Source organism: Homo sapiens, chromosome 15 (assembly GCF_000001405.40).
Source record: "Homo sapiens chromosome 15, GRCh38.p14 Primary Assembly".
Taxonomy (NCBI): domain Eukaryota; kingdom Metazoa; phylum Chordata; class Mammalia; order Primates; family Hominidae; genus Homo; species Homo sapiens.
In genome coordinates, this window is record NC_000015.10 from 77,634,518 (window position 1) to 77,652,534 (window position 18,017).

General features: G+C 54.7%; 1 protein-coding gene and 1 long non-coding RNA gene across 15 annotated transcripts in view, besides 2 other annotated features; one reads left to right on the forward strand and one right to left on the reverse strand.

Moving 5' to 3' along the window:
• Positions 1 to 18,017, reverse strand: part of LINGO1 (leucine rich repeat and Ig domain containing 1) — a 207,874-nt gene that overhangs the window by 21,491 nt on the left and 168,366 nt on the right. The window lies entirely within an intron of this gene.
• On the forward strand, positions 7,247 to 14,723 carry LINGO1-AS1 (LINGO1 antisense RNA 1). The gene is made up of 3 exons (NR_045123.1): positions 7,247 to 7,440; positions 11,871 to 11,994; positions 13,322 to 14,723. It is a non-coding gene; the product is annotated as an LINGO1 antisense RNA 1 (long non-coding RNA).
• Positions 11,059 to 11,559: an enhancer, noted in NCBI's record as "H3K4me1 hESC enhancer chr15:77937918-77938418 (GRCh37/hg19 assembly coordinates)". NCBI's record gives its function as "activates a minimal SCP1, AML or CMV promoter by ChIP-STARR-seq in naive H9 embryonic stem cells {active_cell/tissue: H9 hESC(naive)}" and the evidence as "EXISTENCE:reporter gene assay evidence [ECO:0000049][PMID:30033119]".
• Positions 15,625 to 16,125: an enhancer, noted in NCBI's record as "H3K4me1 hESC enhancer chr15:77942484-77942984 (GRCh37/hg19 assembly coordinates)". NCBI's record gives its function as "activates a minimal SCP1, AML or CMV promoter by ChIP-STARR-seq in primed H9 embryonic stem cells {active_cell/tissue: H9 hESC(primed)}" and the evidence as "EXISTENCE:reporter gene assay evidence [ECO:0000049][PMID:30033119]".

Below are 18,017 nucleotides of genomic sequence, written 5' to 3' on the forward strand. Positions count from 1 at the left end.
CAGGCCCAGAGAGGTTCCAGGCTCTGCCCATGGTCACACAGCCAGCAAGCCACGGAAAGGGAACTGGACTCGTCTTCTATGGCTGAATGGACCAGCAGGGGGCAGGCTCGGCAGAAGGACTTACAGGTGGGAGGTGAAGCAGGGAGGCCAGCACAGGAGTCCCCCTCCCTGCCAGAGCCCAGCGCAGGCGACTCCCCGGTCCCTCAACTCCGCGCTGCCTGGACCCCTCCCCAGACTCCCCAGCCCCCCCACCCCGGCTGTTTGTGAGCTACCCGTGCGCTCCCGCCCTCCCGCGCCGCCTCCTCCCACCAGCCCGACAGGAATAGACGCTCGCTGGCTCCTGCGTAAAGGCTCCGCCAGGCACCCGGCGGGCGCGCAGACCCGCTGGGGGGCGGGGGCGGGGGCGAGGGCTATTCCTGGTGCGGTGACTGACGCAGGCAAGGCGCGGCCACCACATCTCTCCGCCCCCGACTCACCTGCTCCCTGCCTCAGTGATCTCGGCGGAGAAATGGGGGAGAGCCCACTCATTCCACCCCGCTAACCCCCAGGTGCTACCGGAGGAAGCTGGGGTCCTAGGGTGGGGTATTTTGGTGCCCACAATGATCCCTCCGCGCCTCGGAGGCAGCAGGGATGACCACGGAGCTGTGTCTGGGAGGAAGAGCCCCTTGGCCTCGGTTCTCCACTGTCAATGGCATCCAAGCCATTCCCCTTTCCCTTTGTCTCCAAAAGACATGACCCCTCCCAGCTCTCCCTGTTTTATTCCAATGGAAACGACGGGGAGCTTTGGGGGAACAACTTGGAGGATAGGCCTTTTTGAGGGTCTAGTTTGGGCCTGGTGAGAGTACGGGTCCCTGGCATTGTCACCTAGAGACTCCAGGAAAAGGGGGTCTGTCACTGGGTCCCCACCCAGTTACCTCTGCATGAGCTGTGGAACAGGCATCTCTCCTCTCCTGTCGGGTGGGGTGGTTCCCAGCAGAGTCCTCTCAGGGGTCCCAGGGCCATGGAGAATGTGACACACCGGGATGGCCTAGTCCAAGTGTGCTCTGGCACAACCAGGGGATCATGTCCAGGAGCTACAGCTGAAGAATGTTCCCCGCACCCCAGGCCTTTGTGCCTGCTGGACCACCCTGGTGGCGTGCCTTTTCCCTGATTTCTACCTGTGCTTCAAAACCCAACCAAGACCCATCTCTTCTATTCCTGTCTCCTCTCCCCAGACTGAAATGACATTAGAGGCAAGGCCCAAATCTTTTCCCTCTATCCTCAGACTAGGTGCTCCCAAGAGCAGATCTGAGACTGCGTGTCTCATAGGTGGGCACACAGCAGACCCTGGCTGCAGGCTGAGAACTCAGCAAGTCCCAATAAAGCAGGAGCCAGTGGCTGGAAGGAGCCAGCCTGACTGCTCACTGCAAAGTGGAGAAGCTGGAATGGGTTTGCCCGGGAACACAGGAGGAGGGGAGAAGGCCCTCCACCATGTATTCAGCCCTTACTATAAGCCAGACTCAGCCACACTTCACATCTTTGTCTCTCTGCAAGATTGGCATTGCTGTTCCTACTGTACAGATGAGAAGACCGAGGCTCTGGGAGGGCTGGTGACTTGCTCAAGTTCACTCTGTGCACGAGTTAGAGCTGGGCTTTGAAGCTCTGTGTGTATCTAATGTTAGTCCTGCTCTCCTTTCACTCTGAGAGGCTGAGGAGGCAGGAGGTGGAGCTGGGGCAAGGACCAAGGGTCCCCCAGGCACAGAAAGGAGAGGGTGGCACACACAGGCCTGCCTACATGCCTGCTCTATGCTGGTCCTATCCACTGGCATCCCAGCAGCTCGCAGGGTTTTACGATGATGATTATTTCTGAAGGCACTTGAAATTAATGACGGCTCTAAAATGGCTGGGACAGCAGAGTCATTGCTGAGACCTCTAATTAGCAAGAAAAACGGAGACCAGGAGCCTTGGAGGTGAGTGGGGGTTGGGCAGCTGGCATTGGGCATGGAGCAGGGCTGGGGGAGTGAGGTGGAGCCAGCATCCAGCTGGGGGGCCCTGTGGAGCTGGGTGCTCAGGTGGACCCCGTGTTCTACTTTATGCCACAAGTTAACTTGTTAACTTGCTGTGTGACCTTGAGGGGGTCACAGCCACTCCCTGGGCCAAAGTTTCCCCAGCTATGCAATGAGAGGTTGCCCTGGGGGGGTCTCTAAGCTCAGGGCTCCTTGGACGACCCTGATCCCCTAAAAGGCTGAAGTCCAGAAGGTGGGGGCCATGTAGCCTCCAGAAGCCACCACAGAGACCCACAGCCCTCCATGATGGGGTTGCTGAGGCCGCTGTGTAATGAAGTACTAGGCTAGAGTGAAGTGGATTGAGAAGTGGCAGAAAATCCATAGGTCAGGCCCTGCGCTGGTGCACTGTGGAGGCCAGACAGGGATGGAGGCACCTGAGGGGGCTAGCGGGACAGTCCCTTCTTGGAGGTGGTCCTGGAGATGTGGCTCGGTATAGAGCCTTCCTGCCCCCTCCTGACCCCCTCCTCAAGAGTCAGAGCAGACTTGGGGACACCAGCTTCCCATGTAAGCATGTCACAAAGGGTCAGGCCTGAGTATCTTAAAGGAAAGTCCCTCATCCAGTGCTGCCCAAGTCTGGATCCTCCACATCCTGCATGGGGCAGCCAACATGGGGAAGGCACAGGGGCTCACCTGGAGGGGTTCTCTCCCCACAGTGGCTGGCCCAAGTTGGTGTGGAGATATGCAGGTTCCCAGGGAACATCCATGGTGGGTGCAGGCTGAGGCCAAGACTCAAGGGCAAGGGTGTGTGGGAGGCCCACCCCCGTTAACTGGGGCATCCTCTTCCCTGGCATTTACTTCATGCTTGTCTTGTCATCGATAGCTTTCTCAGCCCCTCAAATCCTCTCCCCTTCCAGTTCAGGTCCCTGTGTGTCCCCCTCCTTCCAAAAACCTGCTGAGAACCTCACCTTCCCCTCGGGCGGGGCTGTATGTCCCTGGACACCTTCCTGAGTCTCAGTTTCCTCCTCTGTAAGATAATGTCGGTTTCACGGGGTGGTGTGAGGGTCTCATGGCTTAACGTGTGGCTGGTATCTACCTGATGCTGATGTAGTAGGAGCTTGATAAATGCAGGTATTTTTAGGTGATCATACTGACTGTCATGGTCACTGGCTGCCTCCTGACCCCTTCTCTTTAAAGTCAGGGCTCTAGCCTAAGGTCCCTTTCAGCATTCCCACTCGGAGACACCTGGACCACATTCTCTGTCGCCTGAGAATCAGGAACACCCTGAGGGCTTGGATTCATCTTGTCTCCTCCAGTTTCCACAGCCAGCCCACAGCCCTGATTCCAGAGGGTCTGATGTCTACAAATTACACCTGACTGAAGTCTCTTAATCAGGAAGGCCCAGTAGATTCCCCTAGAGAGGAGGGCCAGGGCATGGGGGCAGGGACACTCTTGAATCCATACTTCTTACTCCCTCTCACCATGGGGCACCCATGCCTCCAAGGAAATGTTTCAGCACCAGTGACAGGTCACTTGTCTAGAAGCAACGTAGTCAGCAGCCTCCCCTACTGGGAATCTCACTGGGAATCCGGGGAAGCCCAAAGGCTCTTGGAGAACTCAAGACAGAAGCCCTGGCAGAGAAATGAGGTCTGGGCCTGGCCCCCACTCAGTGCTGCCACGGCCCTTCTGCACTGGGTGGCCTGGCTGCTGTGTCTACAGTGGCTGAGAAGCAAGAAATTGGTCTGGGGCCAGTCCGTAAAGGGCCCCTCAGCACTACCCCCGCCGAAGTTCCCCCCAGGAAAACACCCAGTGTTCCTGACCTTGAGTTACTGTGGGATGCAGTTAGCTGTTCTTAAGAAGTCAAGGAAGTGTGCACTCCTTTAAAAAAAATTAGATTAGGAGCAAAAACAAAAAAACAAATAGAAAATGTAAGATCACTCCCTGGCTCCATGGGAACTTGGGCTCTGTGCTTGGCAGAGAGGCTCCTCCTGAGAGCCTGGCTCGGCTGTCCCCATGGATCATGTCAGGGGGAATTTGAGCTAATGTGTGCAAACAGGCAGCACTATTAGCAAATCCATTCATTAAGCGCTTGCCTTAAGTTCTGTTGTGCAGGAGACTTGTTTATTAACTTAAGTCGGAGCCTGTTATTAAGTCAAAGGCAGCATAGTGGCTCGAAAGGTGCCCAGCATCAGGGCCAGGCAGTCTTGGGTTCCAGTTCTGACTCTGTCTCTGACTCCTGTGTCACCCTAGGCAAGTCACTTTACCTCTCTGAGTCTCAGTTGCCCAGTGATAGGCAGCCCCTAAGAGGACTCCCAGTGGTCCCTGCCTTCTGGTATTGCCCTGCTTGTGTAATCCCCTCCCCTTCAGTGTGGGCTGGATCAGTGGACCCACTTTTAGTGAACAGAATACGGCAGAAGTGACACAATGTCACTTGTGAGATTAGATTACAAAACAACTGTGGTTTCCATCTTGGGTACCTTTTCTCGATCACTTGCTTTTTGCTATGAGGAGGGCCAGTTGCCATGTTACGAGAAGCCCACATAGAAAGGAACTGATGTCTCTAGTCAACCCCCCATGAGGCCCTGGGACCTTCCAATCGCCACTTGAGTGAGCTTGGAAACAGCTCCTCTTTGAGTTGAGCCTTGAGATGACTGAAGCTCCGGCTGATGTCTAGATGGGAGCCTTGTGAGAGGCCCTGAGCTAGAGGTACCCAGCTAAGCCTCACCTGGATTCCCAACTTACTGAAACTGGGAGGTAATACATATTTGCTGTTTTAAGCTAAGTTTTGGAGTGATTTGTTATGCAGCAATAGATAATTAAACTCATGCTCCATCTGTAAAATGGGTATAGTAACTCCTTTCTCCCAGTGTGGCGAGGGTATTGAGATAAGGCAGGCAAAGTGTCTGCTCTCAAGGGGGGCAAGGAATGGCCCGGCAACTTGGTGGTTATCCAGTAAAGGTGGAAAGACGCACACCCTACGACCCAGCAGTTCCCCGAGGCATGAGCACACGAGGGCAAGCAGAGGAGCGCGCATGGCAGGATTGTTATAGCGAAAAACAGGAAATGGCCTAAGTGCCCATCATTGGGAAAAGGAATGTACAGAACACGGTACATTCGCACAATGGAATACTATGCAGCAGTGAAAACAGCTATGTTGGAGTTACTTGCATCAGCATAGGTGATCTCATAAACACGATGTGGAGGAAAAAACATATGTACAAGGTATACCATTTATCTCAAGTTTAAAAACAAGCCCCAAGCCCTATAAACTGAATATGGATACCTACAAATATAGGAAAAGTATTAAAACACGCAGGACAGTGATTAACACCAATTCCAGAGGACTGTCACCTCTAGGGAGAGAGAAGGGGAGGTGGCAGAGTCAGGCCTATCCTGATCCCCACACTTTGAACCCCACACCATGAGCAGCACGGTGGTTCTAAGTGTGTTATCCACTCACTCAGCAACCCGCTCAATCCTCTCAGCAACGCTATGGGCTCCCTTCTATTACTATCTCATCTTACAGTGGGGAAACTGAGGCACACAGAATCCAGGGAGATATTCCTGGGCTTTCCAGCCTAGCAGGAAGCCAGGACTTGGTTCCTCACTCTGTCATTAACTTGGAGGAGTCCACATTATCTCCCTGGCCTCAGTTTATTTTTCTGTGACTTGGGAGACACTCACTCCTTTCCCTAGATAGGTGTGGCTTGAGAGACTCGCAAAGTCTTGATTAATCAACCTGGAATATTTGCAGAGACCCTGTGAGCCAAGCCTGGTCCCAGCTACATGGCAGGGGAGACTAAAAACAAGGAAGTGTGGACGAGAGAAGGCGTAAATAAGACAATTCAATCCAACGTAATTCAGTATGGTTCAATTTCACATGGGCTCAAATCACGGACAGACAACGGGTGAGGTTAAGGATATTACTTGAGCACCTCTGGCATGCTAGGCCACATACTAGGTGCTTTTACAAATTATATAAGCCTCAATCACACCCTGTAAAGTAGGGACTGTTATTATCCTCATTTAGCAGTTAGGAAACAGGATCAGGGAGGGTGAGCAACTTCCCCAGGTCACACTGACAGCTGAGATTGTCAGGATGTACCCTCCCTCCATTCTGACCTGTCCTCTGTTTGGTGTTGGGGACATAGACGGAGACCAGGCCTTGGTGCCCACTGGGGAATCTCAGCACAGACCAGGAGAGTCTGGAGGAGTCCAGAGGAGGTGGAGCAAACAGGAGAGGCTTCCTGGGGGAGGAGGGTGAAGGCGAATGCTTCAGTGGGCTCATTGGTGGTGAGACAGGTGGAGGCATCCATCCATTCATCTCCTCATTCATTCATTCATTCATTCATTCATTCATTCATCAAATGCCAAACATTTGCCACAGTTTTCTCTAGGCTCCAAAGCCCATGGTCTGGCAGGCAAGACTCAACCTAGTGTGATCCAGGCTGAGGTGGGAGAAGTGGGGGTGGGGCTGCACACACACAGCAGGCAGGTCAGACATCCAGAAGGAAGCAATGGCTGAGCTGAAATCAAAGGATGAGTTGGGATCAGTCAGGTACACGGAAGGTAGAGGCTGGTGCTCCAGGCAGAACAGCAGGTGCAAAGGCTGGGCCCTGGGATGGAGGGGAGAGACAGCCAGCCCTGAGGAAGGCCGCTGCTGGCCAAGGAGGTGCCAGCTCAGCTGAGAGTGGGGTGCGAGGCTGAGGCTGCCACCACCTCTCGCCCAGGTAGGGTGGCTGCCTGCCTTCTTCTCCAGCTGATGGGTCCCCATGCCATCTCAGCCCTGTTGGGTAGGCTGGGTCCCTCTCCAGAGAGATTAAGAGCAGGGGAGTTTGAACCATAACGGTGCATGTAATTATGTGCAAAAACGAAGGAGGGCTCCTTAATAATTGATGGTGGGAGAGAGTAAATATCAGCAGAGGCACCCAGCTGCATCACCCCGGCCCGTCTGGCTGGGACCCAGGGCGGCTGCTTGTCCACTAATATGCCTATAAATTATTGAAGTTATAAAGAAGAAAGCAGGTGTCATGTCGCACCCATAAACAGCTTGTTAGCTAAGACTAACGAAGGGGCGGCCGGCCTCTTGGCACTGCATGGGCTCCCCCTACACCCTCCCCAATTACAGAAGGAGACAGATGAGGAGTGGGCGTGGTAGGAGGCTGAGAGCCTGACTGGCCCCACACCCCGTCTCCCACCATCTTGACCCACTGTGGAGTCAGGTGGTGCTGGGAGAGAGAAGAGGCCCAGAGACACAGAGAGCCAGAAACGGGGCTGTGGCTGTCCCAGCACTGTGGGTTCAGATAGCAGCTGGACAAACCTGCGACAGAGGATGTCAGAGGTCCTGCCCAGCCTGATAGGCTGAGGCCAGCTGGGATGCTGGGAAGAACTAGACACTGGGGTCAGACACTCAGGGTGCACATCCCAGGGAAGCCACCTGTTGGCGGAGTGGTCTTGGGTAAGTCACCTGCCCTCTCTGAGCCGCTTTCCATTCATGCCACCTGGGGATACTCATGCCTATCTTGGAGGGTTGTGGGAAGGGTTCTAAGAGCATATGCGTGTGACATTTCTTGTGGACAGTAGGCCCTCATAAATGGGGCGCTCCTCCACCTCTGCCTTCCACCCCCATATCTCAGGGGCTCCTAATTAGATCAGGCCTAATGAGGCTTCCGTCTGCCTGGCTGTTTACGCTCCATTAAGACCTGAGTCCAGGACAGCAGTGGGAGGGGAGACAGCTGCGGAGGGGGAAGGTGTCCAGTTGCCAGGGCTTGGTTCATCCTAGGCTTCACCATGCATGGGGGACCCCCACCCCCAGGGAGTGGAGGAGGGAAACAGAGGCAGGCCTCTCGAGTCAGAGCTGCCAACAGGGAGAGGCCCCATGGTGTGGGGAGAGGGAGAAAGGAGGATAGAAAGAACAGCTGGGAAGGTTGGCATTTTGGCTCCTCTATGTGAAGAGCTTGGAAGGCCACTTCCCCTCAGGCTGGGGGTCTGCAGTCTCTGAGATGTTCCCTTCCAGGCAGCCTAATTTGGACACTTAGGTGCCCATGGAGTGCTCAGCTCTGCCAAGGGCCACACGAAGGCCAGGAGGGCAGTCTGGGCCTAGGGAAGGTGCCCCTCTCCCCAACCTGGCCCTAGGAAGCCCTTCAGAGCCCCCATAGTCTGCTCCATACCACACAGGGAGCAAGGCTGGGACCGGCACTTGGGCTTGGGCAGCAGACAGGTTCATCTCCGGGTCCGGAAATCCCCCAGCAGGGCATTACTTCTGCAAGTGCTTCCCTTCTCCCAGAGGAAAAGAGGGAATCCCGAAAATTCTTATCAAATACGCTTTGAGCCTCTTCTCCCAGGGGTCCTCTCTGCACCCCTTATCTCACTTGTGCAGCCTTGGTCTATCCCGCTGAGGCCTCTTTGCAGATGCACAGAGAGGTGCCTTAGCTGCCTGAGGCCATGCAGCGAGTCAGCAAGGAAGCTTGTGGAGCCTGGGCTTGGTGCCTCTCCCCACACCACTGGACTTAGCTCTGGGAGGAGACAGAGACTCACACACAGCGCACTCTCTGACAGCCACTGTGGTGTGGTGGTGTGGCATTCCCAGGAGCTCTCTTTCTGCCCAAGAACTCCCCGTGCCCTGGACACCTGCCTGTCTGTCACCCGCTTATCAGGGTGAGGGCAGCTGGGGCTGGCACTTACAGTATCAGTCAGGGCAGCCTGGTCAGATAGGGGATGGAGATGTCTTTCAGGTCCCCTGGATGGTGCTGGGAGCAGGACGGCTGTGTGGGCTGGACTAGGCAGGAGAGCAGGGCTGTCCACAGGATCAGGGGAGACCCAGGGCCCTGGGGCAGGACTGGGGACAGAGGCAAACCTCAGGGTAGGGAGGTCCGCAGTGGGAAGGGCCCTCTCCCCTCCCCGTCTAGGTCAGACCTTGAGAAGGGCTGCTGGGACACCAGCAATGGTCCGGTTACAGGGAGGGGCTGAGAGGCCCATGGGGCATCGGGGTTGGATGGCGGGAGGGAAAGCTGGGAGCCTCAGGCCTACAGAGCTTCCGCAGGGGCTCTCCTGGCTCCTTGGCCTGCCACCCCCTTCCCTGCCATTCTCGGGCATGCCATGCCTTTGGTTATGGGCAAAGTGTCTGAGAAACTCCCTCATCACAGGGGTGGCATGGAGGTGGGGGTACTGCAGGTGGCCACCCCAGCACCATGGTTCAGGGCTTAACCCCCAGAGGGCAGCACCCACAGCCCTGGCCCAGGGGCAGCAAACCCAAGGGAAAGCTTCCTTCCCGAGTCTGGTGCCACCTCCAGGGAGGACACTTTTCATTCCCACCTCTTCCTGCTCCAGCATGGGAAAGGGCAGGGGGTGACAGCTGTAAACAGGGAAATGGGGGTGGGGGTGCAATGGCTCAAGGACCTCCTGAAATGTGGACTCCTCTGGGCAGAGCACTTGGCCAAGTCCCTCCCCGCTCCGCCCTCATTCCTGAATGTGGCACCTGCTCCAAAGAGTGGTGAGGACACGCTGGGAGAATCCATCAGAGCCACGGGGCAGGGCCCGGCACTCAGGAGCCCTCCAGGGGAGAGTCCTTGTGACCGTGAATCTAGCTGGGGCAGCGGCATCTGCTTTGCGAATGTATCTACGCTGGGGAGTTTAGGAAGGATACGTAGCTGTGTTGTGTTGTCGAACTCTGTGGTATGTGTCATGTTGAACATGTGTGTGGTGTCTCTGTCGTGTGTGTCAGGGTAGGTGTCCCGAGCAGAACTTTTCTGCAGCTCCTTCACCAGTCCACAGGCAAAAGCCCCCATTCAGGGTTGCCCAGCTGTGCCGGAGGAGCCACAGCTGTACCCGGGCTGTGCCCTCTCTCTCTATCCCTTCTCTGCCCAGGCCATCCTGGAAGCACAACCCCCTCAACATGGCTGCCCTGAGCCTGCACGGGAGGTGGTCGAGGAGGGGTACCCTGGTTCCAGGGGTCCCCAAACAGGCTTGAGCATCTACCTGCTTCTTCTGAGCCCACCCTGTGGTATTTCCGTCACCTGGGAAATAAGGATGGCATTGGTGGAGGTGCTAGCAATACCAGGAGAGCAAGACAGAGCCCAGGATGTGGACCCAGAATATGACAGGAAATGGGCCCCAGAGCAGAGCTAAGCCCAGGGGCAGGCTGAGCCCGGGTCAGCCTCTCACTGGCCACTTCGGAAGCTGAGGGACACAGCACTGGCTGGCTCCCTCAATCCCTCCAGCAAACACAGAAGTGGCTGCTGTGCCCATTTGACAGACGAGAAAACTGGGGCTAAGAGGGGTGAGGTAAGTTGCACTGGTGGAGCCAGGACCAGCGGCCAGGCCTGGCCCTGGTGACGAGCGGTTTAGGGTTGGATAAAGGGCCACTGGGTGGGCTCTCCTCTATGGGATAAACAATGTGGCTCAGGCCAGCAGCCCGAGAGGCGGAGAGATCTAGAAGGCCCCAGACGATAGGAGGGCTCCCCACACTCTTAAATCAAAACATGGGCGTTTACACTCAGACACAGTGTGTTCACACCACCTGCTGGGGCGTGAAAACCAGCCATAAATACCTGCATGGTGGTGGTGGCTCATCAGGAGTGGGGAGAGAGGCCTGGTGCGCTTTCAGGAAGTTCCCAGTGACTCACAGGCTGTGGACCCCTCTCTGCACTTCCAGACACCCCTCCTCCCAAACATACACACTCAGAACGGGCGGTGCAGGGAGCAGTGCCCATCCATTCCCAACACCAGGGGCTGAGGGCACTGGGAGGAAGGAGCCCTGGCCAGCCAGCTTGTAGGGACTCCACACATCACAGCCCAAGACGCTGGGACAGCAGGCCCCAGGGCCCACAGTGGGGTGGGTGGGATAGGGTGGAGGCATGGCCCTGAGGCCCACTCTTTATCACTGCCTCTCTCCCAAGAGCTACCCAGACCACTCAGTAGACCAGTGCCCAGCTCTCTTTCTAGGCTTAAACTTGGCAGCAGAGTCCCATTTACTTAACGTGCTGAAGGTAGAGCGAGGTGGACGTGCACGCCTCATGGCTAAAGATAAATGCCAGCTAATGCCTGAAGTGTGGAAAACATCGTGAACAAATTCAGGGCTACTGTGTTCATCCTCCCATCCCTAGGCCAGTGGGTCTCTGACTGGTGAACACAGGGCTGCTGCCTCCGTGGGCCTCAGTTCTGAGCCTGCCCGCACTCTGCATCCCATACACGTCTTCCCAGTCCCACCAGAGAGCTGGCTCCAGACCCGCTTTAGAAGAGCTGGTGGCCTTTCCTGAAGCCAGCCGTGTGCACTGGGAACTGAAGTGTAAACAGGAGCAAAGCTCAAGGCCTCGCTGGTAATTCTCCCTTTGTGGTGGGCATTAGCTAGCCTCACTCACGAAGGGGACAGCCCAGGGGTGTAAGATGCCAAGTGCCCTTAGACACCTCCACTGCCTGGGGGTGCCAGGTGGCCTCGGTGTGGCTGGCAGCCCAGGGTGAGTCCTGTGATGAGCAAGTGCATGGGCAAGCAGGCCTGGCTTTCTCCATCTGCAAAGCAGGGATGGTGTCTGCCTCATTTAGAGGCTGGGGAGTGGGCGAGATAAAAGGGTGGTTGAAGGGGCTTCAGCATGAGCCTGGTGGCGTGTGATGGAACAGACACCCAGCTGCCAAGGGGCAAATACATCCATACCCCTGCCCCACCTTCTAGGCCTAGTAAAGTAGTAAAATAGTCAGTAAAGGCACCAATTGTCCCCACCTGTGTCTAGCTGCACATCAAGGAAATGTGTCTGGTCCAGGCATTGTGACCTGTAAGGGACTCCACCCCGCCCTGCCACAGAGCAGTGGGCGGGGAACCCGGACCTACATGGAGGCGCCTCCCCAGGATGGACATGGCACCCACATTGGCACCCTCTGGTCTTGTCCCCACAGGACACCCCTCTGTCATGGTGATCAAGACGGCTAGGGGGCAGGGAAGGCGAGAAGAGGGAGGAGACACTGGTGTGACTCATAGCAAAGTAAGAGCTTCTTCCCTCCTCTCTGCACCCCAAATACGGTAAGTCTGTAAGCAGGTGTGGCACACACAGGCAGGAACCTGGGGTTTCCCCCACTTCCAAGAGGGACAGACCAGGGGCCAGCCTCTCTCCTTGGGGCAGATGTGGCAGAGCATAAAACCACCTTTTCCCCTGCCAGGGTCTGCCCCAATTATTCGCTCATCTCCATCCCCACAACCTGGGGCTTCTCTGTCCCCAGGAGCACCCCAGGAAGGGATGGAGCTTTGATAGTCAGAAGTGACTGGACGGGATTAGCTGACAGCCAGGGAGGGTGGGCTCTTCTCAACTGTGCCCAGAAAGGAGGCCTGGGAAACATTAATAATGTCTAATATCTATCAACCCTTTCCCCTGGGACAGCAGACACCAGGGCCGGCCTAGAATCTAGGCATTTACTCATTTCATACTCTCAATGGCCCTATGAGGAAGGTTCTGTGAGTATCCCCACTTTACAGGGGAGGGAACGGGCATGGGGAGGCTAAGGAGCTTGCCTAAGGTCATGGTGAAGTGAGCAGTGGAACTGGGACGGGCCCCCGGTATTCACTCTAGCTAACGAGTATGGAGGTGCGGGAGGGCTCGGGGCTGGGGAGTGTGGGGTGGGGGGCTTGGAGCTCTTTGGTCCACTTGCCTAGTTTACACGCACTCCCACTGAGGCTGGAAGGGCAGTGTCAGGAGCTTCACTGGTGGAAGTCTAGGGATGGGCAGGGTAGCTCTCGGATCAGGTCCTGGTTATGCCCCCTGGGCTGTCCTGCCCCTGACAGGAGATATTAGGAAGCTAGGGATGAAAGGGTCAGTCTGCCAGAGCACAGTCCAGGGGAGAGGTAGACCCAGCTCACAGGAAGATCTGATCCAAGGTGGGTGGTGATCAGAGCTGGAAGAGAAGGGAAAGGCAGCTGGGGGGTGGTGGGGGGACAGAATCCCAGGGGTCTCCCTGGAGGAGACAGTCTTGCAGGAGTCGTAGGATCCTGACAGGCAGAGAGGGGGTCAAACATTCTAGCAGGAAGGAATGGCAGGTGTGAGTGTAGAGGGTGGACAAAGTGGAGTCTGCACAATTACAGTGCTAAGGATCACAGTTGCCTTTGAACCCAGGTTCCTGCAGGGTGGGCCTGCTGGCAGCTGGCAGGTCAGAGCAGGGGCTGGGTCAATGGCAGCCTTGCTGAGTGCTGTTCCAGGCAGCCCGGGAAAGGCCCTGGCAAAACGTTGCACACCTCTGTGCTCCCCCGCCCCATGCCCTTCTTGTCCCTAACTGCTTTGCCCTTCCCTCTCACCCCTCTCTCTCTTCTTTCCTTGTCTCTCTCTCATTGTTCCCTTTATTTTCTTTTTGGCCCTCAGCACTTTTCCTGGAAGGGAACAGCTGGGCTGCTGGAGTCACAGAGGAAATATTTTTCTGGCTACGTTGCACATTCCCCTTCTCTATGAAAATTGGTGCCACCATTGCTAACTGATGGATGGACAGTGAGATATCTATTTCCTTGCCTCCTTCTTTCCTCCCTCTCTCTGGGCTTTGTCCTGAGACATCCGGAAAGGAAAGGGCAGTCAGACAGCAGCCACAGGGAGAGGGTGGTAAGTGGGGAGGACTTTGGTATCAGGTGTGGATAGCTGGGGCCCTCAGGATCATCATTAACCCCATTTTACAGATGAGGAGACTGAGTCCCAAGATCACCCAGATACAATAATAATTGTAGTATTAACATACAAGTTACCATTGAAGGAGCACCGGCTGCGTTCCAGGCACTGTGCTAGACACTTCACATGCGGTGAACCTGTGAGGCAGATCCATGACTGGCAACATTGTACAGAGGGGAAAACTGAGGCTCAAAGAAGGCAAGTCACTAGCCCAGCTACTGTCACACAGCCAGGCCAGCAGAGCGGCAATGTCCACTCACACAACCATGCACATGGCCACTGTGTCAGCTGCATGCCTTCCCCACTCCCCAGCTGGCTGAAAACTGGTGGAGCTGAGATCTGAACCCACATTTATCCATGTTCTTACTCCAAGGCTGGGCTCTACTCCCATGTTGACTGCTGCTGCCAAGAGAACTTTAAACAGCAGTTCTAGCCACAGCAGGACCCAGCCTGATCCTGGCCCCAACCTGTGGCCAAATGGGACAGAGATCCAGGCCCAGCTTGTCTCAGCCTCTGGCCTGACCTCTCTGGGCCTCAGAGGCCTTGCTATGAAAGGGGGAGCTGTAGGTAGAATAAATGAAGTGGCACTGAGGCCCCCCGGGACCGTACTGACTCACACATGGTGGCCCAGGGCATACCCATTTCCCAAGGGTCACCCCTTGTGCACCCTGCTCTCCAGGGCTGGAGACCTCAGGCAGGCCCCTGATTCTCTGGGACCCCAGTCTGCTCCCTGCTGCCCTGCTAAACAGAGTTCCCAAAGAGAGAGACAACAGGAACCCAGGCCTTGGTCTCAAACCTGCAGCCACACACCCCAGTGGCCTCCAGGAATCCTGCACACACATCCCAGAACCCCTCAGCTCTGCATGTACTATTGTGGGTTCTGGTCCGTGGAACCCAAAGTCCAAACATAGGGAAGTGCCTTTCAGACACATCCAAGAAATGACCCTTAATCCTCCAAGCTAAGAGAGATCATCTGGACTAGACGTGGTAGTGACATAGGCTAGCAGTCTGTATTGTCTGCAAACCCAGAACTGTCCTTGGCTGGCCAATGTAAATGTGTTTTAATAGCCACACACACGGTCATATAAATGGGAATGTTCTAGGTAAATGTGTGGTCTGTGTAAATGTTCATAAATTCAAAGTAAACATGTTGGGTGGTGACGCCTGTATACAATGTAAATGTCCATTCTTTGGTAAGACAGAGGACTTTATGAAAGATACGTCTGGCTGATGGAGACGCACACATGTGCAGTCAGTGGGAATGCCTGTTTAGTACAAATATAAGGTTGAGACAAATACCCACATGAGTCTGTAATATGGGATCAACCATCAGAGATGGAAGTCACCACGGAGAAACAGCAAGGTCATTTCCACCAGGGACCAGAAGAGCAAAGATTCAGGGGTACCACACGGAAAGAAGAGAGTGATTTGGAGGAGGAAGGGGGTTCAGGAAGGAGCTGAGGGGTAGGGCACTCTGGCTTCTGGGTCAGGGTGGAGAGCTGGGTCAGCTGGGGCTAGGGGTACTGGGGAAGGTTTCTAGCTGGAGGATAGAAACCAAGGGAACCCAGAGGGCAGTTAGGGGCTCTGGAATCCAGTGTGGCAGGCAGGACTCTTGCTGAGGCTGGACTCCCACAGCCTGCCCCCCCGAGTGCAGCAGCCCCCAACACTGCTCATGGCTGGGCAGGTGATAGCCACCAAGGGGAGAGTGGAGATGATGAAAGGGTGGAGATCTTTTCCCCGCGACTCCTACCACCAACTCTGTCACCCCAGGGGGTTGGTTATGGCAAAACAGAACTAGAGAGCCAGCAAGACTTAGTTCCAGGTCCACCCAGCCACTGGGTAACAATGGCCAATGCCCCCCAAATCCCAAGCCTCAGTGTTCTCCGTGGAAAATGGGAGAGGTGATAAATACCACCCACACATTCTCACATAAGCTCAGAGGTAAAATTGCTTTGCAAACTGTTAAGTGGTGAACAATGTGAGATGAAGGTGCTTTGCTGGCCCTGGGGCTTTGTTGCCAATTAACAGGCACTGGGGTGGCCGATTTGATGTTTACGGCGTGGTGTGTAAGCCTGTGCACGGCATGTACATGCATGTATGTGTGTTTGTGTTTAAGACTCGAGGCTTTCAGAGACTATGCCATGGAGGTTTGGAGTGAGGGGGAAGAGAAGGAATAATCTTAAAAGCAAAAAAATATACATATTATGTGTCGAAAGGAGTGGGGAGGCTTAAATGGCTCCCAGGTGGGACACAGAATAAAATAGTCCCTGCTATTATTTTGTGATTGTCTCCATGCAGGGAAGACTAGCAGAGGGTCGCCATAGCAACCCTGGGCATCCAGCAGGGGGCAGCCTGGACCCCACAGGTTTGTCTGGGCTGAGCAGTATGAGTCAGCCCATCAGAACCCAGAGGCCAGGGCTGGGTTCAATCTAGGCAGGACCCTTGTCTGTCATGGACTCCCACTTCCTCCTGTTCTGCAAGCCACACCTGCAATGGGGAAGAGGGCAGACTGGAGTTGCCCAGTAGAGGGGCTAGGCCAGGGTAGGACTGCGGGCTGCATCCAAAGTTGGAGAATCTCAAGATGGGGATGGGGTGAAGGCAGGGGCTGAAGGTATGCTGGAGGCAGTGAGGAAGTCCTGCAGGGTGGTCACAGAGGGCAGAGGCTATATATGGCTAACACAGGTGATGGGATAAGGACTGAGAGGTGGGATATGGGAAAGAGAGGGTGGGAGAGTCTGGGTGCTGGAGGACAGGGCACTGTGTGGAGGCTTGGGTTTGGTGGCTCTCCCAAGCCCATCCCTGAGCCTTTGCTACTGCAGGGCAAGTAGACATTTCAGAGGCTAGGTCCAGAGTGGATCTGGCCTCACTGGTAGGCTTCAAAGGTAGGGGTCAAGCAGAAAAGGAGTGTAGAGAAGGAAAATCCTGACGGGAAAAAAAGTAGCTATGGCAGATTCACGCATTTGGGTGCACAGGCAGAGGCCACTTTTGGTGGAAACTGCATTGGAGGGAAGAGAGAGTTCTCTGCTTGTGGAAAGGTAGCTGTGAGCTTGCTGTCTGTTTCACTGCTGTGTCCCAGAGCCTGCCATTCAAGAAATATTTTTTGAATAAATGAATGAATGACAGAAGACTGAATGAACAGTGTTCAGAAAGCTACATGGAAGCTCTAAGGAGGCGTTAACATCCTCTTTCTGAAAATTTGCAGGCTGCATTAGAACTAAGCAAGCTATTGATACCACACTGACCTAAAAATAACAAATGGCGAAGTCAGTGGCCTAGGAGGCTGGAGAATCTTAACACCAGGTGGCCCAGGGCATACCCAGAGCTTCTGGCAACCGAAATCTGGAAAAAGTGGTAACAGTTCCATCTGGTCAAATGACAAAAGCCTAAATTTGTATCAAGTAGTGGCTGATAACAGTCAATTTCTACCTAGAAGGCACTACGTTGGATCTAGGTGTTCAGGGTTCTTTAAGTCATGCTCTGAATGAATAAGCAATGATTCCAAAGTATGTGAAGCTAGCCTCACAGATTGAAGTCCTTGAAATCACACTTTCCAAACAGCTTCAAATGAAGAACAAGCTCATACAAACTCAAGAGTGCTTGATCGATGAGCAACTCCAGCAAGTGAAGACATCACAGTCTGGGGCAGTGCATGGCTGACCCCTTTACCTGTTGAACTAGCTGCTTTGGCCCTTGTTTCAAGGGAAAAGGGCTCTAGAGGAATTGGGGGTTTGGTCCTCTTAAGGTCTGAGGTCTTTGGGTCTCTGGGTTTGGTCAGGCCCTTAGGGACTGTGGGCTTAGGCTGAGCAAGGGTAGCCTTGGGACATGTCTCAAACTCTGGTGAAGTCAAGAAAGGCCACAGAGTGGAAAATCCAGAATCTACATCCCATTCGTGCCAGAGCCCTGTTCCATCCACTCTCTGAGCAGATGTCTCCCTACGAAGGCCCAAGGGACTCCTGAAAAGCAGGCACGAATAGACCGCAGAGTTAAACAGTGCAAGGGCATGCTGTGGACCCACCCACTTTGGGTAAATCTTTTGACTTCTCTGTGAATCAGAAAATCAATGGGATAGACTATGCCTCACAGGGCCACCCTAGGGATCGAATAAGATGATGGATACCAAAGTGCTTCATTAACAATAAAGTGCCAAAAAGAGTTACTACTATTCTTGTTGCTATTATTGATTCATTGGGTAGAAGGGGGGTCTGTTCCCAGAGTCCCCGGGGACTTGAAAGCGTCTCTGGGGCTTCCAGGGACATCCCTTCTCTGCACTATGAAATTATGACTGACAGCTCTTCCGTCTTCCTGAGCAACTCCAACATCTCTTACCTACAGCTGCAGCTGGGGAGGGAGAGTGTGTGTGTGTGTGTGTGTGTGTGTGTGTGTGTGTGTGTGTGTGTGTTGC